Source organism: Homo sapiens, chromosome 18, assembly GCF_000001405.40.
Source record: "Homo sapiens chromosome 18, GRCh38.p14 Primary Assembly".
Classification (NCBI taxonomy): Eukaryota; Metazoa; Chordata; class Mammalia; order Primates; family Hominidae; genus Homo; species Homo sapiens.
The window spans coordinates 28996617-29021399 of NC_000018.10; the positions used below are offsets into that span (position 1 = coordinate 28996617).

At 36.2% G+C, this 24783-nt stretch overlaps 1 annotated feature.

Annotated features, from left to right (window-relative positions):
• Positions 3717-4245: an enhancer, noted in NCBI's record as "OCT4-NANOG hESC enhancer chr18:26580297-26580825 (GRCh37/hg19 assembly coordinates)". NCBI's record gives its function as "activates a minimal SCP1, AML or CMV promoter by ChIP-STARR-seq in primed H9 embryonic stem cells {active_cell/tissue: H9 hESC(primed)}" and the evidence as "EXISTENCE:reporter gene assay evidence [ECO:0000049][PMID:30033119]".

Here is a 24783-nt window from a genome sequence, read left to right on the forward strand (position 1 = left end):
AAACTATTGCAAGAAACCACCAACAGTATGCAGTAGGGAATTAACTTCTTAGAAGACTTACACATGCTTAAAAAAATCATTATTTTGGCCTTAAATTTTTATATGTAATATTATTATAATTTAAAGTTATAAAACTTAATTTCTGTATAAAAGAGAGGAGCATAAAAGAGGCTATTGATACAAGTTTATTTAGACAGACATAATAGGTTTAACCTTAGGAAACAGGTAACAAAATGACATTTTATGATTATCAAAGGGATGAAGGATGAAGTCAAATAAACCTATTCACAGTATCCCATAAAATGAATAAAGATTTTTTATCAAATTGACAGCAGTGAACTAAATATTAATTTAACTTATATACCATGTAGGAAACAAAATTTTAATAATTTACAGCACTTTTCCACTTTATTGCCTTATTGACTATTACAGCTCTTAGATCATCCAGGTAGAAAAAGAGACTTTGGAACCTATTAATATACAGTTTCAGTATGGATAGCCTTCAACTGCTTAGAGTAGCTTTAAAAAAAACTCAGGTCATCTTTTAAATAAACTAGTTTTTAATGTAAAAATTAGAGTGATTTTTGTTTCTGTATCATATTACACCTACTAAAGTCAGGCCTAAAAATGTACTGTGTACAATAGAATAAATTACACAAGGCAATATTGCAGGAATGCTGGAAACATTGACTGTTTATCCAAGCACATAATTTGGTTTTATTTCGAGAATAGTATTAAAATAGTCTAATCTTTAATAGGAACCCAAGTCAAGTTCCTACTACAATTACTTTGTCAAAATTTGAGACTATTCTTACTATCATGTTTCTGAGTAAAATAGTGTCCTTGGACATAAATGGAAATGTTTAATTTATAGTAATATGATCCTTGCAAGTCAATTATTTAGAGTATTATGAACAGATGATTTAATCAGAGAACTGAAGAAAGAATATTTGTCCTAGCTCTATATCACTGACAATACATTGCTTCACAAATCTAAAGAGACTCCTTGAATTTTGATCTATGAACCAGACATTGTAGTGCTATTAAAATAGCTATACTATATTTGGAAGATTCCAGATTGTGTGTGCTGCTGATGGTATGTGTGCATCATTTCAGGTTTTACTTCAATTATACCTATGTAAAAATAGATTAAAGAGAAGACGTGCTACCTAAATTATTTCGAGAATCTAAAATATTCCTCTAGGTTTTAGGAAACCTCATTTACCTAAAAATATTATAAGCCAATGATTCCAGAAAATACATTTCCACGTTTAATATTAATTATGCCTGATATAAATGAACTTTTGAAATAACTGGAATGAATAACTTTAGGACCTTGATAAGAAACAAGATTTCTTGTTCACATCTTCAACTCAAATATATGCATCTTCCAATGAAGACCTTCTCTAAGTCAGAGATAAAATCAATAAAAATTTTACTCTGCTAATTAAAAGAATGAGTCTGCCCAACAATAGGAATTATTTGACAATTCTAATATCAACTGAGTAATGCTAGCAATAAGCAGTTAAAACATTTGCTTATTTATATAATTTATATACATATAAATATTCTTGAAAACAGTAACAATTGACTCATTGATTGCTAATTTTTGATATGAATTTTCTTTTTTCTTTTTTTTTTTTTGAGACGGAGTCTCACTCTGTCACCCAGGCTGGAGTGCAGTGGCACGATCTTGGCTCACTGCAAGCTCTGCCTCCTGGGTTCACGCCATTCTCCTGCCTCAGCCTCCCGAGTAGCTGGGACTACAGGCGCCTGCCACCACGCCCGGCTAATTTTTTTGTATTTTTATTAGAGACAGGGTTTCACCGTGTTAGCCAGAATGGTCTCCAACTCCTGACATCGTGATCCGCCCGCCTCGGCCTCCCAAAGTGCTGGGACTACAGGCATGAGCCACCATGCCCGGCCAAATTTTCAATTTTTTTAAGATGCCCAATTTTCTTAAGTTAATTAGAATCCATGACATTTATGTGATTGGAAAGCACATTAATATAAAATTTGCATATCAATTATTGAGATTCTTTTTGGTTTTTGTTTTTTGTTGGTATTTTTGGTTTCTAGAGATAGGTTCTTGCTCTGTCACTCAGGCTGGAGTGCAGTGATGTGATCCTAGACTCAATCATATTATTCGAATTCAATACAAATCTATTCAATATTTGAATGTCTAAGTACCCAACACTGTGTCAGGTGATATTATTTTTTATGGGGAGAAAATTTCAAGTTCACTTAAGCAAAGACATTCTTTAAGGCTTCTTTATTAATAGTGGGAACAGGACCGCAGAAAAGTTTAGTTTAGCATCTAAATTGAGGGTCAAATATGACTAAGACTTGACCAGGAAATAGGAGGAGAAAAAGTGATTCTAGAGAGTAGAGAATCATGTGTCTAATATTCTCATGCTTCCATATTCTTCAAGGCTTCTGAAGGAAGATATATAAAATTCAAAAAGTTTCAGAAACTTTAAATAAACTTTATTAAACGCTTGACTAATACAACTCTTGACTAATAAAACTCATGTTCAAAAGCATGACAAGGAGGTGTGCCAAGTACAAGTTGATCAATTTGCTCATACTTTCAAATAGTCTTCTTTTGTAAAAAGTTACATGTTAGCATGAAATTGGAGAAATCAATGTAAGCAAAACAAGAAAGGATAAGGTTTCAGGATGGAGTCTTTCTTGTATAATTTTTCCTCACTGACTAAGATGTTGAATAATTTTCCAGGCTATTTTACCCTGATTTTCAAACTTTGATGCTATGATCGAAATGAGCTTAAGAAATGTAGAGAAGAAGAATAAAACTTTAAGAGCATACAGATCCCATAGTTTTGTACATAGTTGTTCATTATTGTTATTATAACTAAAGACTAAAAGAAACTAAAGACCCAGGGGACAATCCAGAAAAAATGTTAACTACTCAATTATTGCTAAGAGTTTATCATCTTCTTTACACCCAAAGTGTGCCTCATTGTTCCTTTCCAAATACTGCACCCTGATATTGACCTTCTAGTTCTTAATACTTTACAATGAGTAAGTGGAAAAGGTGGCTCCTGTGAGCTGTCCACCCCAGAGCTGACCAAGGATGACCTTCAAGACAAGTACAGATTTTAACTAAGGATTTGGCTTGCATATTAGATGTGGTGGGGCCTCACACTGGTGAACTGAATTGGTCCATATGTTAACCTCAAGAATATGTGTGATCTGTCTTCTTGCATAAGCCACAAACTAAGGCAGGCAAACTATCGTCATTTATTACTTTCCCTAAAATAGTGTTTCTCAAAATGTGATTGAGAGTTCATAGGCAACAGAGTCATCTGGGATGCATGCTAGAAATTCACATACTTCATCTTCATTACTCCCACCCCATACACATATGATGATTCAGAATCTCTTGAGGTTGTTTCTGGGAATCTGTAGCTTCAACACTGTGGAGGTAATGCCACACAATTGTGAGCATCTGCCCAAGAAGACCTCACAGGGGGTAATTGAGGAGTTACCCCTGAGGCACGAAGAGACTGAAAAAGGCGTATCAAAGGAAAACAAGAGTAGTTATTCAAACTTATGTGCAGTTAAACTCATCTTACAGGGAGTTAAACTCACTCACTTAGAATCTCTGCGATGTCTTCATTCTCAGGGCAAATAAAGGAAATGAGTGTTGGGCACAGGCCCACCTGTGACATTCAAGTAGATGCACACATGCTTTGTACCTGAATACTTACTTTCATGTGCGTCCATGTGAAGAGACCACCAAACAGGCTTTGTGTGAGCAATAAAGCTTTTAATCACCTGGGTGCAGGTGGGCTGAGTCCGAAAAGAGAGTCAGCGAAGGGAGATAGGGGTGGGGCCGTTTTATAGGATTTGGGTAGATAAAGGAAAATTACAGTCAAAGGGGTTTGTTCTCTGGTGGGCAGGAGTGGGGGTCACAAGGTACTCAGTGGGGGAGCTTTTGAGCCAGGATGGGCCAGGAGAAGGAATTTCACAAGACAATGTCATCAGTTAAGGCAGGAACAGGCCATTTTCACTTCTTTTGTGGTGGAATGTCATCAGTTAAGGCAGGAACCAGCCATCTGGATTGTACGTGAAGGTCACAGGGGATATGATGGCTTAGCTTGGGCTCAGAGGCCTGACACTTACAAGTGATAAATTAAAAAACCTGTTAAATAAAATATCTTTATTTATCTTTCTATTTTGATAACTATTCCTTTATAATGTCCTGAGAAGCCAGGTCCCATCTAGAATGTTCAGATTTTTTAAAGCTTTGTGTTAGTACATGATAGCACAGGCAGAGCCAGCTCCAGATTCTCAGCCTCCAACTCATAGCCAACCCCTTCTTATCTCTGTCTGTGTGCACTCTAGGGGGTGAAGCAACATAGGAGCAAACATGGGTGATGTTTCCCTAACATAGGAGATGTTTGTGGGCAAACATGGGAGATGATAGCACATCACATACATACAGGTAACGTCTATCCTCAGACACACCAGGAGCTGCTCTTTGGCCATGGCTAATCCTCAGGCCCCACATTTGTACCTTGAGATACAGCTCTTGCAGTCCCTGGAAGTAAGCTAAGGGCTATTAAGGTGTGGAATTCTCTAGTGTGCTCTCACGGAGTGCCATAGGCTCTTATAGGACTGTCCCCTTTGCCTGGGGAATTCTTGCCCTGCAGAGAAAGACTAGGCCAGGTCTTGACAAAGCACAGGAACCAAAGCAGGAAGACATGGGGCTATCTTAAGTGGATGGATTCTTACAATTTAAATACTGTATAGTCTAAGTTTCTGGTTTCTTGGAGACAGGGTCTTGTTCTGTCACCCAAGCTGGAGTGCAATGGCACAATCATGACTCAATACAGACTCAAACTCCTGGGATCAAGTAATCCTCCCACCTCGGCCCCCCAAAATGCTGGGATTACAGGCATCAGCCACTTCACCCAGCCTAGACTATTTATGATTGATTTGTTCATTCATTTGTTGAGTATTTATTGAGCTATATTGCAAGTGTTAGTGAAGACATTTGGGATATATTAGTGAATAAAACAGACTAAGTTCTTGCTTATGTGAAGCTCACATTCTCAATACCTTCTATAGCATACCTGTCACCTGCCATCTTCAGTCCTCTTGGAAATATGCATTGACAGGCAATTCAGTTTCTTTCATTGTTGGCTACTATTTTTATCTATTTTTTTAAATCAATTGGATATATGGGCACCTTCACAAGATAATGAAAATTCCATCTGTGATTTTTTTTGGCAATTAATTTATAGATGGAACTAAAGACTCTTGCAGGAAGACAGCTATTTTTTTAAGCCAAGAAAAAAAGGAAAAAGAAAAATTATCATTGTATTATAAATTGCCTCTTGACCATGACATGACTTGCTATTGCAATTGATTTGATATGCTAAACTTATTTCAAATAAAAAAAAGAAGTTTAGAAGAATTTATAAACATTTTGTAAAAGTTTGTAAGTTTAGGCCGGGCGCAGTGGTTCATGCCTGTAATCCCAGCACTTTGGGAGGCAGAGGCGGGCGGATCACGAGGTCAGGAGATGGAGACCATCCTGGCTAACACGGTGAAACCCCATCTCTACTAAAAATACAAAAAATTAGCCGGGTGTGGTGGCGGGCGCCTGTAGTCCCAGCCAGTCGGGAGGCTGAGGTAGAATGGCGTGAACCCGGGAGGCGGAGCTTGCAGTGAGCCCAGATGGTGCCACTGCACTCTAGCCTGGGCGACAGAGTGAGACTCGTCTGAAAAAAAAAAAAGTTTTTAAGTTTAAAACTGTATAAACTCCTGCAATTTTTTTATCTAAACTACTTTAATGGCTGTTCAAAATGTACAAAATTATAAGTTAACAATGCAGATTAAACACCTGCAATTTTTAATCTGAACTACTTTAATTGCTGTTCAAAATATACAAAATTATAAGTTAACAACACAAAAGATTATCACAATACCCAATTTCGTGTAACAGTATTGATGTTACAGGACAGGGGTCCTGATCCAAACCTCCAAGAGAGGGTTCTTGGATCTCACGCAAGAAAGAATACAGGGCGAGTCCGCAGTGCAAAGTGAAAGCAAGTTTATTAAGAAAGTAAAGGAATAAAAGAATGACTACTCCATAGACAGAGCAGCCCCGAGGGCTGCTGGTTGTCCATTTTTATAGTTATTTCTTGATATGCTAAACAAGGGGTGGATTATTCATGCCTCCCCTTTTTAGAACGTATATTTTCCTGATGTTGCCATGGCATTTGTAAACAGTCATGGCCTTGGTGGGAGTGTAGCAGTGAGGACAACCAGAGGTCACTCTCGTTGCCATTTTTGTTTTGATGGGTTTTGGCCGGCTCCTTTTCTGCAAGCTGTTTTATTAGCAAGGTCTTTATGACCTGTATTTTGCGCTGACCTCGTATCTCATCCTGTTACTTAGAATGCCTTAACCATCTGGAAATGCTGCCCAGAAAATTTCAGCTTTATTTTACCCAGCTTCTATTTAAGATGGAGTTGCTCTGGTTCACACGCCTCTGACGCTGGGACTCAGATATTTTAAATATGGTAAATAGTATTGCTACATTGGCTGACAATACTCCAAAGATATCAGCAGGAAAATCTGTTGATTCAACAAAACAAAGTTAATGAGACTTAGAACAGTAGGGTAAATACCCCTTTGTCAATATCTTAGCTGTGCCTCAGAAGTGAAAACCCTGAGGGGGAATATTTATGGTGTTTCCGGACTTGAGTGGTTGCTTTCAAGGGTTTTAGGACCTGGGCTGTTGATTTTAGGGTGGGTTATGCAATACGGCATAGTGCTTGAGATTGGCAGAGTTTGTGACATAGTAGCTTTGGATTGGCAGCCACAGCAAGAAGAAAGTCTTCAAATGCAAAATGACAAGTAGGCTATGTTAGTAATTCACTGTTAAAGCTTCCAGGACCAACTATTTCCTGGACAAAGCAGCTAGGCTAGTTTTACCTGGTCTCAGTGTTGCTTAGGTTGTTTAGTTTTTTGGTTTTTTTTTAGTGTTGTTTTTTTTTTAAAATAAAAGATTGTATACTTTGTCCCAGAATTAATTAGCATGGGAACAGAAAAACATGGTTTCAGTTTTCAGGTGAACCCCAATTTTTTTTTCTAATAAATTGCTGTTGTAGGAAAGTTGGAAGTTGTTTAGGTTTATTTTGTTTAGTAGGAGAAAACTAAGCTTAATCTTCGTATCAATTATATGAAAACATGATGCCAATGCAGTTAATCTAATTAATTTTCCATTTCTGCTAGCCATACTGATATTTCATGTTTCTATATATTATTTTTAAAGAATATTTTTCTTTTTTCTTTAATATCTTGTCTTCAAGAACACCTATGAGTGAAGGAATAACAAATTCAATAATAAATAAAATAATCTAAAAGATGTTGGGATTTGTGATTGATTTTGGTTTTCTGATTTTGACCAGGTATGATTTTGCCCTAAGTATGACTGTAATTAAGGAAAGTAAAGAATTCAAGTTTCTTTGCCTCAGACTCTCAGCTTTAGAAAATTACCCAGAGGCCACTGTTGAGCTGAAATTGATTATGCCAAGAGCACCCTTGCCCTTCTTTTGCTTGACTAAAACAAATCAGCACTAGGTATGCAAAGCCCTTAGGAGAACTCTAGCTGCCTTCGACCTGCTTGTCAAAGCAACCTGACCTCAGATTCAGATTCTTGTGTTACTCTAGGTGAGCAATTGTCAATATTAGGCTAGATTTTATGAACTTTAAAAACAAGAATTTAGGAAATTGAAGCTAATATTAATCTGTTCAAAGTGCTAATATCTTTGGTTTGGTCTTACTTTGTCACTATTTTTTACTGACTGCTACATATAGTAGATCTTTTCTTTGTTGTGTATTTTTCAGTAATGTTGCTGATTTTTAGGTTTTGCTCTAAGTCCTTTAGCCACAAACAGCTTTTCGATATTTTTTGGCCCTTCTGCTCTAGTTTTAAACTTTTCTAATGGTCATATTAAGAGAATATTGCTATTCATTTCCAAAATGTGAGTACAAGCATGCTGTAATGCAATGTGAACTACATTAGGAGTCGGGCAGTACGAATACTGGTCCTGGCTCTCAGAGCAGCTAACTGTGTAAATTTAGAAAATCCCTTTGGAAATTAACAGAGGTTTAAATAAGTAAGAGGATACAAAGAGAAAGTTTTAGTTCATAACACGAATTTAATTTTCACCAAATTTAACATAGAGAAAGAATGAAGTGTTCCTAAATAGAAAGCTGAATTTTTCTTTTCTTTCTCCTGTCTAGCCTCTCTGCTGATAATGTTGAATTTCATGCCAGCCTCATGCTCTGGAAAACAATGATGCTTAAGAAATCCCCCTAGTCTTTTTTTTATCTAAAATCCTCTTTTGTATGTTATGGGAAATGGATTATCTGGAAGAACTAACTTCCCCATATGAACACGTGTTGATCCTTTCTCTTGACTCCTGTAAGATTTGCAGATGGCTCCATTGTTTATCTGTGATAAGGCCAAACACAACCTTCCCCCACTTTGCCTCAACCTGACAACAAAACCAGACAGACCTTTCAACTTCCCCTTTATGGTCTCATGAATGATCAGCTGAGATTAGAACTTTTGTCCCCTGTGAAACTAGCTAGACACAGGGATAAATATTTCTATTTTAGCTAAGAATTCCCTGATTGGAAAAAAATAAGAATCCCAACTGTGGATCACCCCACCTTTATTTAACTTGTCAAATTCTTCCTGCTGAGACCCTGATTTTTAAATCTCCCTCCCTATGGAAAAGCTTTGAATAAAATCAATTTCCTTACTTGCTTGGCTCCTGTCTTTGACACTACCTCCCATTCTTCTTCCTTTTCTCCCTCTATTTCTTTTTTCCTCCTGTCTACTTTCTTTTCTTTAATTTTTTTTTGGATATCCACAGGGATTCTCAGATTTTATTCAAGGTGAGGCTTGAATCAGATCAGACACATTCCTTGCCTTGCTAAACCGGTAAGAATGATGAGTAGCAGATGGGCATGTGTCTACTAAAATGAGAAAAGAAAAGATTAACAGCATACTAAAAATATACTGCTTCGGAGCTGAGTAGCATTCTAAGGACCACGTAGCATTAAGATATAATAGAAAAATTTAACTTGGATTTGTTATTAGGAAAGCCTGGATTTGAGGTTCCTGATAATAATCTCCCTCAGAATTATTGAGGTTCAAAGTAGTCAACTTAAATAAAAGTATATATGTTACTGTGTATGTGTTTCATACATATTCATTTCTGACTATACAATTCCTCAGATTAAAGAGGACCAAAATAATGCAACTTAATTAAAAGTATATATATGAATGCATGTATGTTTGTGAGTGTAAATTTTAATTTGTTTCCATTGAATCTGGAATAAATTTCTCTCTCTCTACACACACACACACAAGCATACACACATACATGTAACACACACAGTCATATATAAAATATATAACTCCCTTATTAAATTGAGGGGAAATTTAATCTATTAAAATTCTTAAGAAGGTTTCAGTTTAATGATGTTTCTTTAACCTGAGAAGTATTCTATTTCATATTCCTTTAATTTATACAAGTAACTCATTAAAAAGAAATGCTGATTTCAAACAGGTTTTGGAATTCTTGGCTTCTGTAAATTTAACTGTCCACATGCTATATGCACTAAATCATTTTTACTTCTAAAAAGTTTACAGAGGGGCAATTCTCAAAAGATTTACTTAGGTTTGTGGCAGAAAAATATAAACATTTAGATACCTCTTCTATTATAATGAAACCCTGCTCCTTTTTCTCAGGCAGGCACATTACCCTAAGTGATGAGGTTCACGGCACTACACAGCGTGCTTTTTTGGATCAACACCAGTTCTTCAATCCCACCACATCTTGGAGTGCATTTTTGATGAATAAATTACCAAACTAATGAGATGCACTAAGAGGTTAAGGATTGATCAAGTACATAATCTTTTTAATGAAGGACACAGCATGAAACACATTCCTCCAAATAGATACAATAAACAATCTTCTAAAACCTAATTAGAATAAAAATACAAGGAAAGGTGAAAAGTCTTAGAATTTCTGTAACAGATAATAACTTGACATTTTCTGCAACAATGTAAAAGCTATTAGTCTACCACCCTTATTTATATTTGAAGCAGGTGAGTCTCAGTAGTTTACTAGGCTAAAATAATGATATTTTGATATAGAATTTTAATATATCTTTAAGCCTTCTGGGTACATGAAAATTGTTTCAAAATATGGCTTTGGAGCTTTTACAGAACTTGCTAGATTTTGTGGATATCTAGTAAATGTTTTGTACATCTTTTGAGTAGACACAATTTTTGAGGCATTGTGAAGTGGATTTAGCCTTTTGGCTGTCAGTATTTTTTGGTATAATTTAGGATTTAATCAAGTTTCCAGTTCTTATTTCATTTGGGTATTAAAATTGGGTTGTAAACCTTTAGTGAGAGGTTTAGTTAAAACTGTCAGTCACAAATCAAATTTTTAATGAAATATCTGTATTTTTAAAAAATGATAATGACAACAAAGGATCGGATGGCACACTGAACAAAATGATCCGTCTGGATTTAACAAATATGGCAAAAAGTAGTAATCCTTAGGAATGTTGAATCTAAACAACAGCCTAACATTTGGGTTAGTGATGTCCATACCTACAAACATAATGGTTTCCTTTTGCCCAGTAGTTAGAGTAACACACTAGTTATTAGATATCAGTATTACTGATTAATTATACCATAATGGTGTTATACAGTATGTGCTGGAACTCTTTTATTCTCTAATTTTTCACACCATCTGCTCAAGTTGAATACTTAGAGTGTATTGCTAAATGCATGTACTTCAGATATTGCTACGGGTTTTAACACACCACATTGTATAATTCATTTTCCTTCCAAGGACTTAGGATTCTTTGTATATCTATTTAACACAGGGTTAACTCCTAATTGTGCCACCAGTAAGCAAAGATTTACTCTCTACCGATAAAGAACATGTGAGATATACCATTCTGAAAGTGTTAATAGAAAAACCAAACTCTATAAAATATTTTAAAGAGGTTTATTCTGAGATAATATGAGTGACTGTGGTCCAGAGAAAACAGAAACCCATGAAGTGTTGAATAAGTGGTCCCAGGGCAATCAGGTTAGTTTGGTTTTATACATTTTAGGGACACAGAAGTAAAAGAAAAATATATCAATCAATAAATGGAGGGGGTTAAATAGAGTTTAGCTTAATGCTGCCTTCTTCCATATTTTGAGTTTTATTTAAGAATTTCTCTTGCATAGTGAGCTATAACCTAAATGGAGTTGTAAACAGACCGTAATCTACTTGATGTGCCAATCATCGAGTTTTGGCCCATCAAAGGAGGCCAACTGTTCAAAATGTGTTCAAATAAGGCAAACACTAAGCTGTAATCAATCTGGCTGTTTCTGTACCTCACTTCCATTTTCTCTTGTCATTTTCCTTTTTTTGTCCATAAATCGTCCACCATGTGGTTGCTCTGGAGTCTCTCTGAGCCTACTCTGGCTTGGGTGGCTGCCCAATTCATGAATTGTTCTTTTCTCAATTAAACACTGTCAAATTTAATTTGGCTAAAGATTTCCTTTGAACAAAAGTGTACATTAGTCCAGTCTCAAAAGGCAGGACATCTCAAAGCAGAGGGCTTACAAGTCATAGATGGGTTTGGGGGATTCTTTAGTTGTCAGTTGGTTGACAGTTAAGCTATTGTCTAAGAACTTGAAGTCAGTAGAAAAGAATGCTTGAGTTAAAATATTAAGGGTTGTGTGAGCCAAGGCCCTTGTTATGTAGATGAAGGCTTACAGGTAACAGTGTTCAGAGAGAATAGATGGTAAATGTCACTTTTCAGACCTTAAAGGTATCAGACTCTCTTAGATTGGGGAAAGGCCTAGAAAGGAAAAGCTTGGCTACATAATAAGGATTCTCTACAGATGCAAAATTCTTTCACAAAAGATGGCTCTGCGTGGCCATTGCAACCTGCTGGCCTTGTTGTAGCCATTTCAAAATATGTCAAAGAAATATATTCTGGGGTAAAATATATTGATTTCCTTCAGGGTCTGTTATCTATCATGAGATGTTATACCAGAGTGAGGCTGGAAAGCAAATCAGATTATATTAATACCTGGTTATTAAAAACAAAACAAAACAAAACAAAAATTTAATGAGAGTTTATGGTTTGTAGGGTGTGACTTAACCCTTGCCTTGCATAGTCCCAGGTCTTGTTTATTCATTGGTATCTTATTTCAACAAAGAGTCTGTTCTTAGTCTTATGATCTCCATTTTAACATTAATGCTGGTCAGCTGTGCCTAAACTCTAAAAGAGAGGGGGTATGATGAAGCATGTCTCACCTCGCATCCTGTTACAATGAGGAATTTCATTATTCATGTTCCTCTGGGCTGCCCTTGGCTAATAGAGAGTCTGTTCAGTCAATTAGGGACCTTAGGATTTTACTTGTGGTGTACAAAGATAATAAAAAGAAAAAAAAAAGGAAATTAAACTTAATTTCTTCCCCTTTTCTATCTAGAATTTTGATTGTATACCATTTTCATTTCTATTGCTTGATTGTACATAAGTTCTTTGTAGGGGGGAGACACCTGTGTTTGATTTATTCTTGTATCTCTCAACCTTATGTTACCAGAAAGGGGTCCCGATCCAGACCCCAAGAGAGGGTTCTTGGACTCCATGGAAGAAAAAATTGGGCACGAGTCCATAGAGTGAAGTGAAAGCAAGTTTATTAGGAAAGTAAAGGAATGAAAGAATGACTATTTCATAGTCATGGGCAGCATAGGCTGCTCAAATGAATATATGTGCAGTGACTTCTTGATTTTATGCTAAACAAATGGTGAATTATTTATAAGTTTTCCAGGAAAGGGGTGGGCAATTCCCAGAACTGAGGTTCTCTTTTTTAGACCATATAGGGTAACTTCCAGATGTTGTCATGGCATTTGTAAACTGTCATGGGGCTGGTGGGAATGACTTTTAGCATGCTAATGCATTATAATTAGCATGCAATGAGCTGTGAGGATGACCAGAGGTCATTTTCATCATGACCTTGCTTTTGACAGGTTTTGGCTGGCTTCTTTATCACATCCTGTGTTATCAGCAAGGTCTTTGTGACTTGTATCTTGTGCCTACCTCCATCTCATTCTGTAATTAAGAAGGCCTAACCTACTGAGGGTGCAGTCCAGCAAGTCCCGGCCTTATTTCACCCAAGCCCTATTCAAGATGAAGTTGCTTTCGTTCAAGTGCCTCTGACACTTAGAGTAACTGTATAAACCAAAGAAGGTGCTTGTTAAGTGTTTGTGGTCTAAAGGAATAAAATGTCAAAAATTTCAATTTTTCCAAATTCTACAATAGTAGTAGAATTTTTATTTTGCATTTTGTCTATAAAGTGATACATTTAATATTAATTTTTTTCTTGATTATATAAAAATGCATAGTTTTCTCAGGTACAGATGTTTTCTTTTGTGTAATATTTGTACTGGTGTTGTTCCTTTTAGAGTAAATAAATATTTTTAAAGTAATTTTTGAATTTTCAAACAGTAACTAAAGCTACAGTGCTATTCCAAAGTCCATAAACTATTTTTCTTGCCAACAGAAAAAAAAAATGTACCCAAAAGTGGTAATTCTACTGTAGTCTCTAAATCAATACACAATCATAGTGTAATATTACTGAATTCCCATGGATTGATAGCTGCTACTCTAGAATACATCAATGACTGCCAACTTTTCCCTAGGAAACAATCAGGGAACAGGCCAGTGGGCTAGAAAAATGTTTGAAAAAAAAGATAATCAGTTAAGTAATTCCATCTTATGAGAGAAAATGAGGAGCCATATTAAATTCAGTGTTCAGGCATCATATTGCTAACTCTAAGAAAGTCAATATAACGAAGTAAATATTTTCTCCTTTTAGGGTTTTTGGGGGCATATTTCTGCCTACAAAATAAACTGAAGCAGAAAATAAAAGGAGTTATGTTTCTGACTGCTTCCTCTACTCACAGGTGTTTCAAAATTGTTCCTTGAGAAAGACAGACATTCCTAATTAGAAGAATCGGCTCTAAGTGACTTAGTTATTTTTGTCCTCCAAGAAGCATCTTTATTTGAATTTCCAGTTGAATTTTTTCTACATGTGTCAGCCTGTTTAAACATAGTTAACATCTCTTCTACACATTGGTGGTCTTAGCAAAGGATGCCATGTGCAGATCATTCCCTTTCAGCTTGGGAACTTCCAGTTAAAGCCATCCAGAAAATATGGTAAAGATTGGTCTCTTTGGTCTTCCTTCTTGATGGCAGCCATGTGGAGGAGAAGTATGTGCAGAGGAGAAGCAGAGAAATCAGAGAAGCCAGCAAGCAGATGCCTTAATTGTCAAGTCCATCCTATCTGTCACCAAGATATGTACTATTTTGGCAGCCCAGGAAATGATATTTCCAGGAGAAGCAGGAGCTGCTGCTAAAGCCAGCAGATACATTTTTTTTGGTGGTAGCCTCATGGGCCAGTAACTTTGAATGTCACAGGTAGAGATAACCAAAGTTTAATATCACAGGTAGTAGTATTAAGTGTTTGACATCAAAGGTGCAGCAGTATGAAAAAATGTATACCTCTTATAGTGATACTAGTGCCTTTGCTTCTTACTTCATCCTAAAGAGATAGAGGAACACCAAGGTAATCCCTAACTGCCTTTATAACCGTGCTAAAAAATGTAAGAACAACTTGTGGGGTTGTGAAAACGCTATTATAACATGTTAAATTCTATTGGTCCTTTTTTTAACTTGAAAACTTGTATTTTTTTTTTCAGTGATGTCCATTATTTTCTGTAGGATGCTGGAAGCTTATAATAGAGCACTGTATTTTGTCATAACATAATAACATTAAAAATATTTGTGATAGAGACAAGCTTAGATGTAATTTTGGATGATAACCAGGTTGAAATGAAAGCTATATATTTTTTGTCAATAATTGGATTGTTCATGAGTAATAGTAAACTAATATATTGCAAAAGGATAATATTATGTCACTCAAATAATCTACATGTAATAGGTCTATGGTGATGTACATGAACAAAGAAAAGGGGAAAGAAAATAGGAGAAGGGAGAGAAGCAATACATTATTGATATTACTTTTAAAGTTCAGCTTTCAAATTATTTAATATAACTATATTTGTTTTAAAAAGTAAGGTGTACATATATAATTCTGGTCTATGTATATACAAACATGATTAATACAAGAACTAGTCAATTTTTGGCAGAAAGGAGGAAAATAAAATATACTTAATATACCATGATGTACAAACAGCCTTGTCTATTTATTTGGCAAACATCTATTTGCGTTTTTTGAAATCTAGGACCTCATGTCTAGATTTTCAGGTAGCCACCATGCAAAAGAGGGGAACTGTAGTTAAAAACACGACTAATATATAGTAAATACCATAAAAAGTAAGAAGCTTTTGGATTTTTAACTTTTTTAATTTTGAAAATTATTCTCCCAATTTCCATTTTTGAAATAAGGTATATCCAGAATCTATTTAAATATTGATTTAAATATTTGTGTTTGAAAAATTCCTTATTTAAAAAAGCACCTAAAAATGTTTTGCAGATATCTTACTATAAAACACTAAGTCAATCCCCAAACTATCACCGTTTTATTGAGAGAAAGCCAGGAACTGATTAATTTTCTACACAAGTATTTTGGCGGGCACAGGAAAGGAGATGTGATGATCGATATCCACTGTAGGTTTGGCATCTTTAGCTAACTAATCCCAAGGGTCCAAGGTCTCTAAGTTCTCCAGTAATGGGTGCAATTTCCTTTCACTCTCCTAATCAGCTTGAGCAGAGCCCAGGTCTTAGAGTAGTTCTCCCTAAAGCATACCCTGAGGCAAGGATACAGGTGCAAGCAATTTGTTAAGGAAGTTCCCTAGGGGCCAGCAGGAGAGTCCAGACTGGGATGAGGCCGCCAGACCATCGTTTGAGTTCAGTTGAATCCCAGACTCAGTGGGAACCCTCAGGGAACTCCTAGGGGAGCCGGGCTTTGTCCAGACTTTCAACCAAGTAGCGGAGCTGTGCTCCCATACTCTTCAGTCATTGCTAGGGCTTATGGCTGGGTGACCTACCTCAATCCCCTGCACGTGTGGCTCTCTGTAAGGACGAGGTGCCAGTCCTCTGAGAGTGGAAGGTACAAGTAGTTAGCTGCAAAATATACTGGAGCTGGGAAGTGGTTGCACAGAGATTGACCAGTGAGGCCCAAGGGACTAAGGGGACACTGCCAGTGTCTGCCATAGACCCATTCTGTGTAAGCACAAAAGGTCCAGTTCCCCCAGCAGTTGTTTCTAAAAATCGCAGCAAGAATCTGTCTTTTCACAGCCATTTATTGTTACCCTTCCCTTCACTGTGACTCCTGAGTCTGTCCCTCAGCTCCCCCTGACCATCTGTGTGGTAATGACTACTCCGTGCATAGCCCTCATCCCTAGTCAGCTTTGCGCTAGAGGTGGGTTCAGGCTTTTCTCTTTAATCACAACAACACACTGAATAAAAGGCTGTGCATTGAATACATGCGATCAAATCTTTCATAGAAGGTAATAGAATTACAAAGCAGAAAAGGGAAACTAAATGGCTCCTGGGTGCATTGTTTCTGCTGTGCTGTGCCTTAGACTGAGCTTCTGCCTTGCCTTTCTCCCTGTTCTGCTTCTGTGTTATTGAGATGCAACCTGCCCTCTTCCCCCAAATAAGATAAGAAGCTTTTTTTCTTTTTTTTTAACATGGCACATTTAACAAACCCTATTTAAGACACTGCAAGTTTTTAAAACATTATTATAATTATATTTTCAGAGAAAAAGACTATCATAACATCTTACTTATGAAACAGAATTCTTAAGTACAGTCTTAACCCGCAGTTACTCCCTGTATTCAGTTTCTAAAAAAGCCGTGAATAAGTCCATGTTTTCCATCTCTACAATGAAATATTCACATGAAAAACTTACTGAAGACAGAGTTTAGTTAAGCCCTAGAGTGAAGAACCTGTAGCTTTTTTAAAATCAGCAGTTTTTTTCCTCTCCTTTACCTATATAGCACATCTAATTCACGTATCATTTCAAATTATTTTATAGAAGAGGAAAGTAAACCTTAGAATGTTTAATTTTTTTGAAGTCATGCCATTACCATGTGGAAGACTTAGGATCCCATCCTTGATCCTCTGACTCCAAATATACTTATTTTTCATACTATTTCAATTTCTTTATGAAAAAATGTATTATAGTGTCATTTTTTCCCTTATTTTTGTGTAACATCTTTTGGGGCTTTAGAGGCCATTTGCCACATTGTGTGGCTTCTCAGGATATTCTAAAAACCTCTCTGCTGCTCAGATAATGTTCCTTATTATGAATCCTGCTTTCCTAAGGCAGGAAATAGTCGGGTCTTATTCTGTCTTGCTAATAGCTTAGACACAGAATACAATCCAAGAACAAGAAGCTCAAATGTGTGACTTGAGTAAGAAGAAAACAATATAAGGAGGTAGCAGGGTTCCACAGAACCTATCTTTGAGAGAGTGTGGTGGTTAAGGTAGCTAGCTTTTGTGGGCCGCATTAGTGAAATTCTAGCATTTCATTTCAAGCATCAATTCTGTAAGCAGTAGACTCATTTGTGACTTATTAATGTAAGGATAAAATTCATATTTACCTTTGTGAGTGATTAAGAGGACTGAATGAGATAATCCATGCACAGTGCTTAAGCGTGCATGGCACAGAGTAAGTTCTTAATACAAGTTAGCTTTTATGAAGAATAAAGAGAAGAACAGCAAAACTAATTCATCAACCTGTCTCCATATAGCCACTGCTTTCTCTCTCCCTTAAACTGAGTTTTCTGTATTCACCAAGTCTACTTCTTCATCCCTCATTACTCTCCATTCTATTCCAATCTGGCTTCACCACCTCCTCCATTACATGACCAGACATTTCTCAGCAACATCACCAGTAATCTTCAGGTCAGTGAATCTAATGAACATTTTCTATTTCTTTACTTGCTGGACTGTATACCTATATTAAAAAAATGTTGGTCAGGCACAATGGCTTATGCCTATAATCTCAGCAGTCTGGGAGGCTGAGGTAGAAGAATTACTTGAGCCCAGGAGTTCAAGGTTGCAGTGAGCTATGATCACACTATTACACTCTCTCTAGCCTGGATGACAGAGCAAGATCTGTCTCTAAAAACAACAACAACAACAAACTTAGCCTCCTCTTCAGGCTTAGCCTCTTATATTGCTTTTAAAGCTTATAATTCTTCATGTCATGATTTGAGGCCTATAACTCTTCTTGTTTGATATCCAAATCTATTTCAAATCTATGTTTGATATCCAAATCTATTTCAAGACTATGACTTTAATTATCTTCTAGACACTATTGATACTCAGATCCTAGAACAGTGTTTGACACACAGTAGATAGCCAATTTCTATTTGTTCAGTGTACAATTGGGTAAATGAGCAAAGCATCAGCAAGCTACAGATACTTTTATGTGTGTGTGTGTGTGTGTGTAACACTGAGCCTTAGCATGAGCAGGAAAGAACCTAATAATGCCTTGTGCAATAATGGAGGACCATTGTATCTATATTATGTAACTGAAATATTGATATGAAATGAGACTGTGTTATCTGAGCGAATATTTATATATGTGAGAGTTGTTACCAACAACTACTCCTCTCAGGAAGCTCTGCTCATAGGTTGAAGTTCATGTTTCACTTAAGACCTTGCAAGTCTTGACCGAATTGACTATTGTTGCCACACAACTGGAGTCCTGAGTTCAACTTCAGGCCTAGGATTTAGGAAAACGTAAGAGAAAAGGCTTCCTATTGTTGGGAGGAGGTTAAATTTTCCCCAGGGAAGCAGTAGACTTTTGTGGAATACAGACACTTGTAAGAAGGTATGGCATTTTGTGGAGAATGGGCAATGTGCTAATTGGAGAAGGAAAGATCAGGAATGAAATAAATAGCTATTAGGACACATTCTTATAAGGTCATTTGTGTATTTTAAAGCATACCCAATACAATATCTTTTGTGCTGGATAGCTCACACTTAGAATCTAAGGATATTGAATTGCCTTAAATGAGAACCCACATTTCAGGGGTTGTCACTGGCAAAATATCAGAAAGGCTACATTTCAAAAGCATAGTATATGTAAGCACAATATAAATATTGTATATACTATACATAATACTATATAATGCAAGAGACCAGAGACATGTAAGAGGACCGTATCTCCTGATTTCCTTAGAGATAACCAGAATCTACCATTTGTTGAGGAAACAGACATGGATGTAGAAATACCTAGGTTATATGATCCTAAAATCTACAATGTATCTAAGGCCTAGAAAATAGTTTGCAGTCTTGTAAGTACTCAACAAATGTTTTGCAATGAACAAATGAATGCATTTAGCCTTAGTTTTAAAATATTATTTCTTTTGTGAATGCTAACAGAAAAGGAAGTCCTCACCAATAGTTTGACTCAATCTTCATCACCTGCTATTCTGGTAAGTGCTTAAATACGTTTACTGAATGAATGAATGTTTACTGGAAAAAAAATCAATGACTGAATAAATTTTAAAAGTAGCTGGTAGATTCTAAATATTAAAGTGCATCATGGTGAGAAAAGAAAATTACTCTAGGCTGGACAGATGAGATATATATTCTTACATTGTTTAAGAAGTACATGTGACTATTGCTAAACAGGATGATAGTAAAATAAATTGATGCTTGCATCTCAAAACCCCAAATATATTACAGTAAGTTTGCACAAATCAAAATTAGGAAAAATTAAAACATGTTAGAAACAAGTAACATGGTGCTAAAGTAAAAGTAGAAGAGAAAAGGAATGGTTTCCTTTTGAAAAGGTTTATTATATCATTAATGGTACCTTAGCACAGGGACCCATGCAATTATTTTCAAGTTGATATTTTTGATATTATTATGTTAAAGATTTTTATTATTGGAGCCTTTACAAATTTATTGAGCAATGGAAGAGATAATGCATTGAGAAAGTGAAGAGTTAGTGATGCCATCTAGGGATACGAAGAGATGAGTAGAAATCATTCTTAAGCAGTGTATTCCTCGGGTCATCAAATGGACTTGTTACTCTAGACAAGAGGTATGAAAACATGATTATTGCCCAGCTATTGAATGTCAATCAATATAATGGAGTCAACACAAAATAATCTCATGGGAGACTGTTGTATAAGACAATGCCAATTAAGAGTTTTACACTGGAGATTAACCACTTTCACACCTATAAACATTTCCTTCACTACACAGACTTTCCCAGTATCAAATAATCTGGAAAACTTGGAATTTGCAACTGTGCAGTTACTTGGAATGTAGGAAATCAGAACAGGGAACTAGAACTTTAGGAATCTTTTTTTTCTCTCTAGTATGAATTAACCAGTGTTATAACAGAGCACATATGTCCAGGGACTAGACAGTTCTTGTTCACCAGATGTGGTGGCATGGAGTAGATGAATTCTTAATAAAACACTCTAAGTATTTATTTTCAGTTTCACAGAGAATTGAAAAAGGATTAAACTTAAATTACATGCATTAGTTATATTCCTGTAATTGATTAAATATTTTAATTGCTTTAAGTTTCTACCTAGAAATTTAGGAAACATATCATACTAAGCAGAGAGTTGATGGAAGTATCTAATAACTTGAAAAATATAGAAAAATACTTAGGGAGCACAATATAATTTTATTATTGTCACTTTAACATAGAACAATATTCTTACACTTACATATTCTTTGCTTCTTTTGGCTATGTGATGGTTATGTCAGTTTTGCTTAAATAATGCCAATTACTCTTCTCTACAGAGATAATTTACTTGGAAACTTTGTTCCTGAATATGTCTGTTAAGTTGATCCATATATATAGTACACTTGTTCTCTAAATTAGCAAATATCAAAATCATCCAGAATGCATCATAATATCTCATATTCCTGGAAGAAGCCTCATAGTTTCTTATTCTGAAAGTCTGACCAAGACTCAGGAATCTGCACTTGTAACACGCACCTCAAGCAATTTAGGTGGGCAATCCAGAGCTTTGAGACAAACCTGCATATAGTGATTTCATTGTACTGGTGAGTGTCCATCAATCCCACTGGCCTTTGATGTTGGCTGGGCTGGTGTCTATCTGGTCCCATCCAAGTGATAAACTGGGCTATCCTGGAACCAGTGATCTGGCCAGGATATCAACTGGCATCCACTGGTACAGTCAGTGCTGCATTGAGCTAGCATATGTTCTGATGCGGAAGGCATCTATCCTCAAAAGTGGCTGCTTAGATATAGTGAGTACGTAGCATTTAAATATTACCCTGGCTTCAGCAGTTCCTTGTCCCTCTATTTCCTGAAGGAGAATCCTTTCTGACTTGTCTCTGAAATAATCTTATATTTTTCTTTTCCTGAGGAAATATTTCTACTCAGATATCCAGAGAAACAAGGCAAACTATTTTCTGAGTCCAAGCAAAGATTCAGTCTATTAGTGTTTTCTTTATGTCTAGAGTTGACCTAGTCACACATCAATGGTGAATGCTTAACAATTCAAATAATTCAGTTCCTTCCAAAGTGTTATGGTTATTCTTAGGCCCATTATGCAAACCATGAAACAAAAATTTCTCTACAATGAACATGGGTTGCATACAGAAAAAAAAATCTTGAATTTAGAATTTTAAAACAATTTTCCTAAATATGAGTTGTCAAAAGCCAGGAAGTAGTGTGAGTAGAGGCAACAGATTGATTTATTCTCTTCTTTGGTATACTATAGATTTTAAAGAAAAGGTAAACATTTTCCCCTGCAGCATGGTAAGAATGCAGCTCAGCACAGGTGAAAGCTGGTGGAAACATACGGATTTTCAGGATCCCATCCAGCATAGTGAGTCTATTTATTTGTTCTTTTCCTGTGTTCAGATGTGGCAGTGATGGATGCTATTTCCATACAATGCAATGCCTCGAGCTTGCATCAGGACCATGCTTTTTAATGAAATAAGCACAGTCCTTTACTTTTCACATCTTGACTACTGACTTATTTATTATAGATTTTGGGAGAAGCACATTTAGTTAATAAGTGTTTAATCATTTTCATAAATACAGGTTTTAGAAAACTGTTCTTGGAAGTCTGATTTAGGCCAAAATTAGGTGTATTTAACCTGGCTCCAACAATCTATAGTGTTTTATTTCACAATATCTATTTCTTAACACACAAGACTTCCCTCTTTCCTCACCTTTTCGATGTTGGCCTTAAACTTAAATTATGACTTTAACCTGATCCATCTGCTAACTTGAAGTAATTAATTTTATGATATACTTAGAAGGAGATATATATCTAAACATGAAGCTGCTTTCATTTATCTCTTTATATTTTGTGGTTTTAAATTCCATCTAATTAACAAAGGATCATAGTGTTGTGGTATACACTGGGCACTCATATATTTGTATATTTGTTAACCTGGGGGCATTATGACATTTTGAAGAGAAAGAGAACTGTTTTAAGCTGGGGTGGGGAGACAAAAAACAATCTGTAACACTTTTGTGCAATTTAAACAATGGTGCAAAAGAGATGAACATAAGAATAACATTAAACTTTTTGTTCTAGAAAGGCTTTTCTCAAGAAGCTTATTCTTCTCCTATTTTTATCTGCTATTCTAGCAATTCCTTAGGGCACAGCAGTTTGTCTCTGCTCATTGGTTTGGAGCTGACAGCAAAATTTGGAGCTCTTTCATCAATGTGCCATATACTTTTTCTGTTTTCATGTATTCATCATCATAATTTTGAAGTCTGTGTATTGAAACTGTTTTAGGATATAACTGGATGGGTGTTAAAATTTCCCTGAAGGCAGTATTGTTCTGATGTGGCTGACGGTGAACCTGGACTCACTGATATAATGGTGTCAGTGATGGCCAGGAACCAATGACTTTAATCAAGGTTCTAAATGTTCTTCAGATTAAATTGCTTTCCAGAGTGTTTTGAGTCTATGGAGTCTGAGTGAATGCTTCTGTTTCCTTTTTGTGGTTTCATTCCCCTAGAATGTGAGTTTTCTTAGGTTTCAATGCTGTAACTATTCAATAAGAGAAAAATATTCTATTTGCCTTGTAATCTCATTTTGTGTTGCAATCTGAAGCATGTAGATGTTAGTTACTGTAGAAATAAAGGAAAGAAATGAGCCCTAGTTTTTCCTTCTCATTATCATTTCCTTTGAACACATAGGAAAGGTTTTGCACACAAGACATGTTGCTACTCAAATAATAATTTATCTAAATAAATGGATATTGGTTGCTCTCACCTTAAAGACTGTTTCTAATTTCACAAATGCTGCAGTTGTTTAGCACATTGTTGATCCAAAATTTTAGAATGGTGTTCTAAGTCAGCAACAGATTTATTTTTATGCTTTTATTTTATTGTGTTCCTTCCTTTTTTTTTTCCATTTTTACCTTCTCTGTTTTCACCTTTCCTCTCTCTCGTCTGCCTTCTACTTTCTTCCTCGTAGGGCTTCTGGCAGTGATACTCACTGGGTTCCCTTGGAGATTTTAATTCTCAGACTTGTCCACACCAAGCCTCCAGCAATTCATCAATTATAGTTTAAGTTTTCTTACCTCGACACTGGTTCTCACGGAGTTTCTTGCTCCTTGGCTTCTGCTCCCATAAGTTGAGATTCTCTGTATTTGCTTGTCTTTCTCTCCAATTGTTGGGGCGGTGGCTTGCTCTGTGATCTCAGTTCTCAGAAGAATCTTTGAAGAGTTGTTAATTTTTAGTTTGCTTCTTTTTTCTTGTTGTGAAGCCAGAAGTGATGGTTTCCATGCTGCTTACATGCTGGACCTGAAACTGGAAGTCTCTGAAGTACGCTTTTAATGCAAAGAAAATTAAAATATCTGCAGAGCATTTTGTACATATTAAGTGTTCTCTCATTTTTAGCTATCAATAATGCTGCATTTAATACATCATATCTTATTGATTCCAAGGCTATGTTTTTCAGATTTCAACAACTCTGAAATTGTGATATGATGTCTTACAATTACTTTGCATTTGATATCTGCTGCTGCCAACCCTGACTCCCCCAAGGGGGAAGCCCAGCCACTGTTAAGGTAAGGGCTAGGCAATTGCCCCTCTCCACTTTGAACCTCCCTGGTCTGGTCAATGCAGTCCCTTTGTACTAACCCCTCTCTGTAAAGCGTGAGCCTTAACATCCTTGGAATGAATTTTACACAAGGCAAGCACATCGCAGGGCAACCAAGATTTCGGGGGGCAGCAACTTAGATCTGGTGTCGATAGGCTGTGATAGCACACCCATCCTGACTTTTTTCTTCTCTGTCTCTTTCTTTTGCTCTGTTTCTCTCTCTGTCTCTGTCTCTCTATGTCTCTTTCTTTCTCTGAATTTGAATAGCGGATAGGAAACACTTCTGGGGCCAGAGGATGTTTTAAAGAGTTTTTTCAATAAGTGCATAATAAAAAAAAGTCAAATAATTTTTTTTATATTTGTCATAGTTTAGTTGGCAGCATTATTTCTTGTTTAGTGGTTCCTAAAATGATGTTGGACAGCAATTTATATTAGATCAAATATCCCAGTGCTGTGCTGAATCCTAGTGACTTAGGATTGTGTGCATTTCTTCCCAACAGCATTACCAGTGATGTTACTTGGTGACTTCAGGTTAGCCATGCTGGGAGTATTAGCCCTACATAAACATTAAAAATCAACTTCCTTGCCTTAAGCTGCAGTTATTAAAC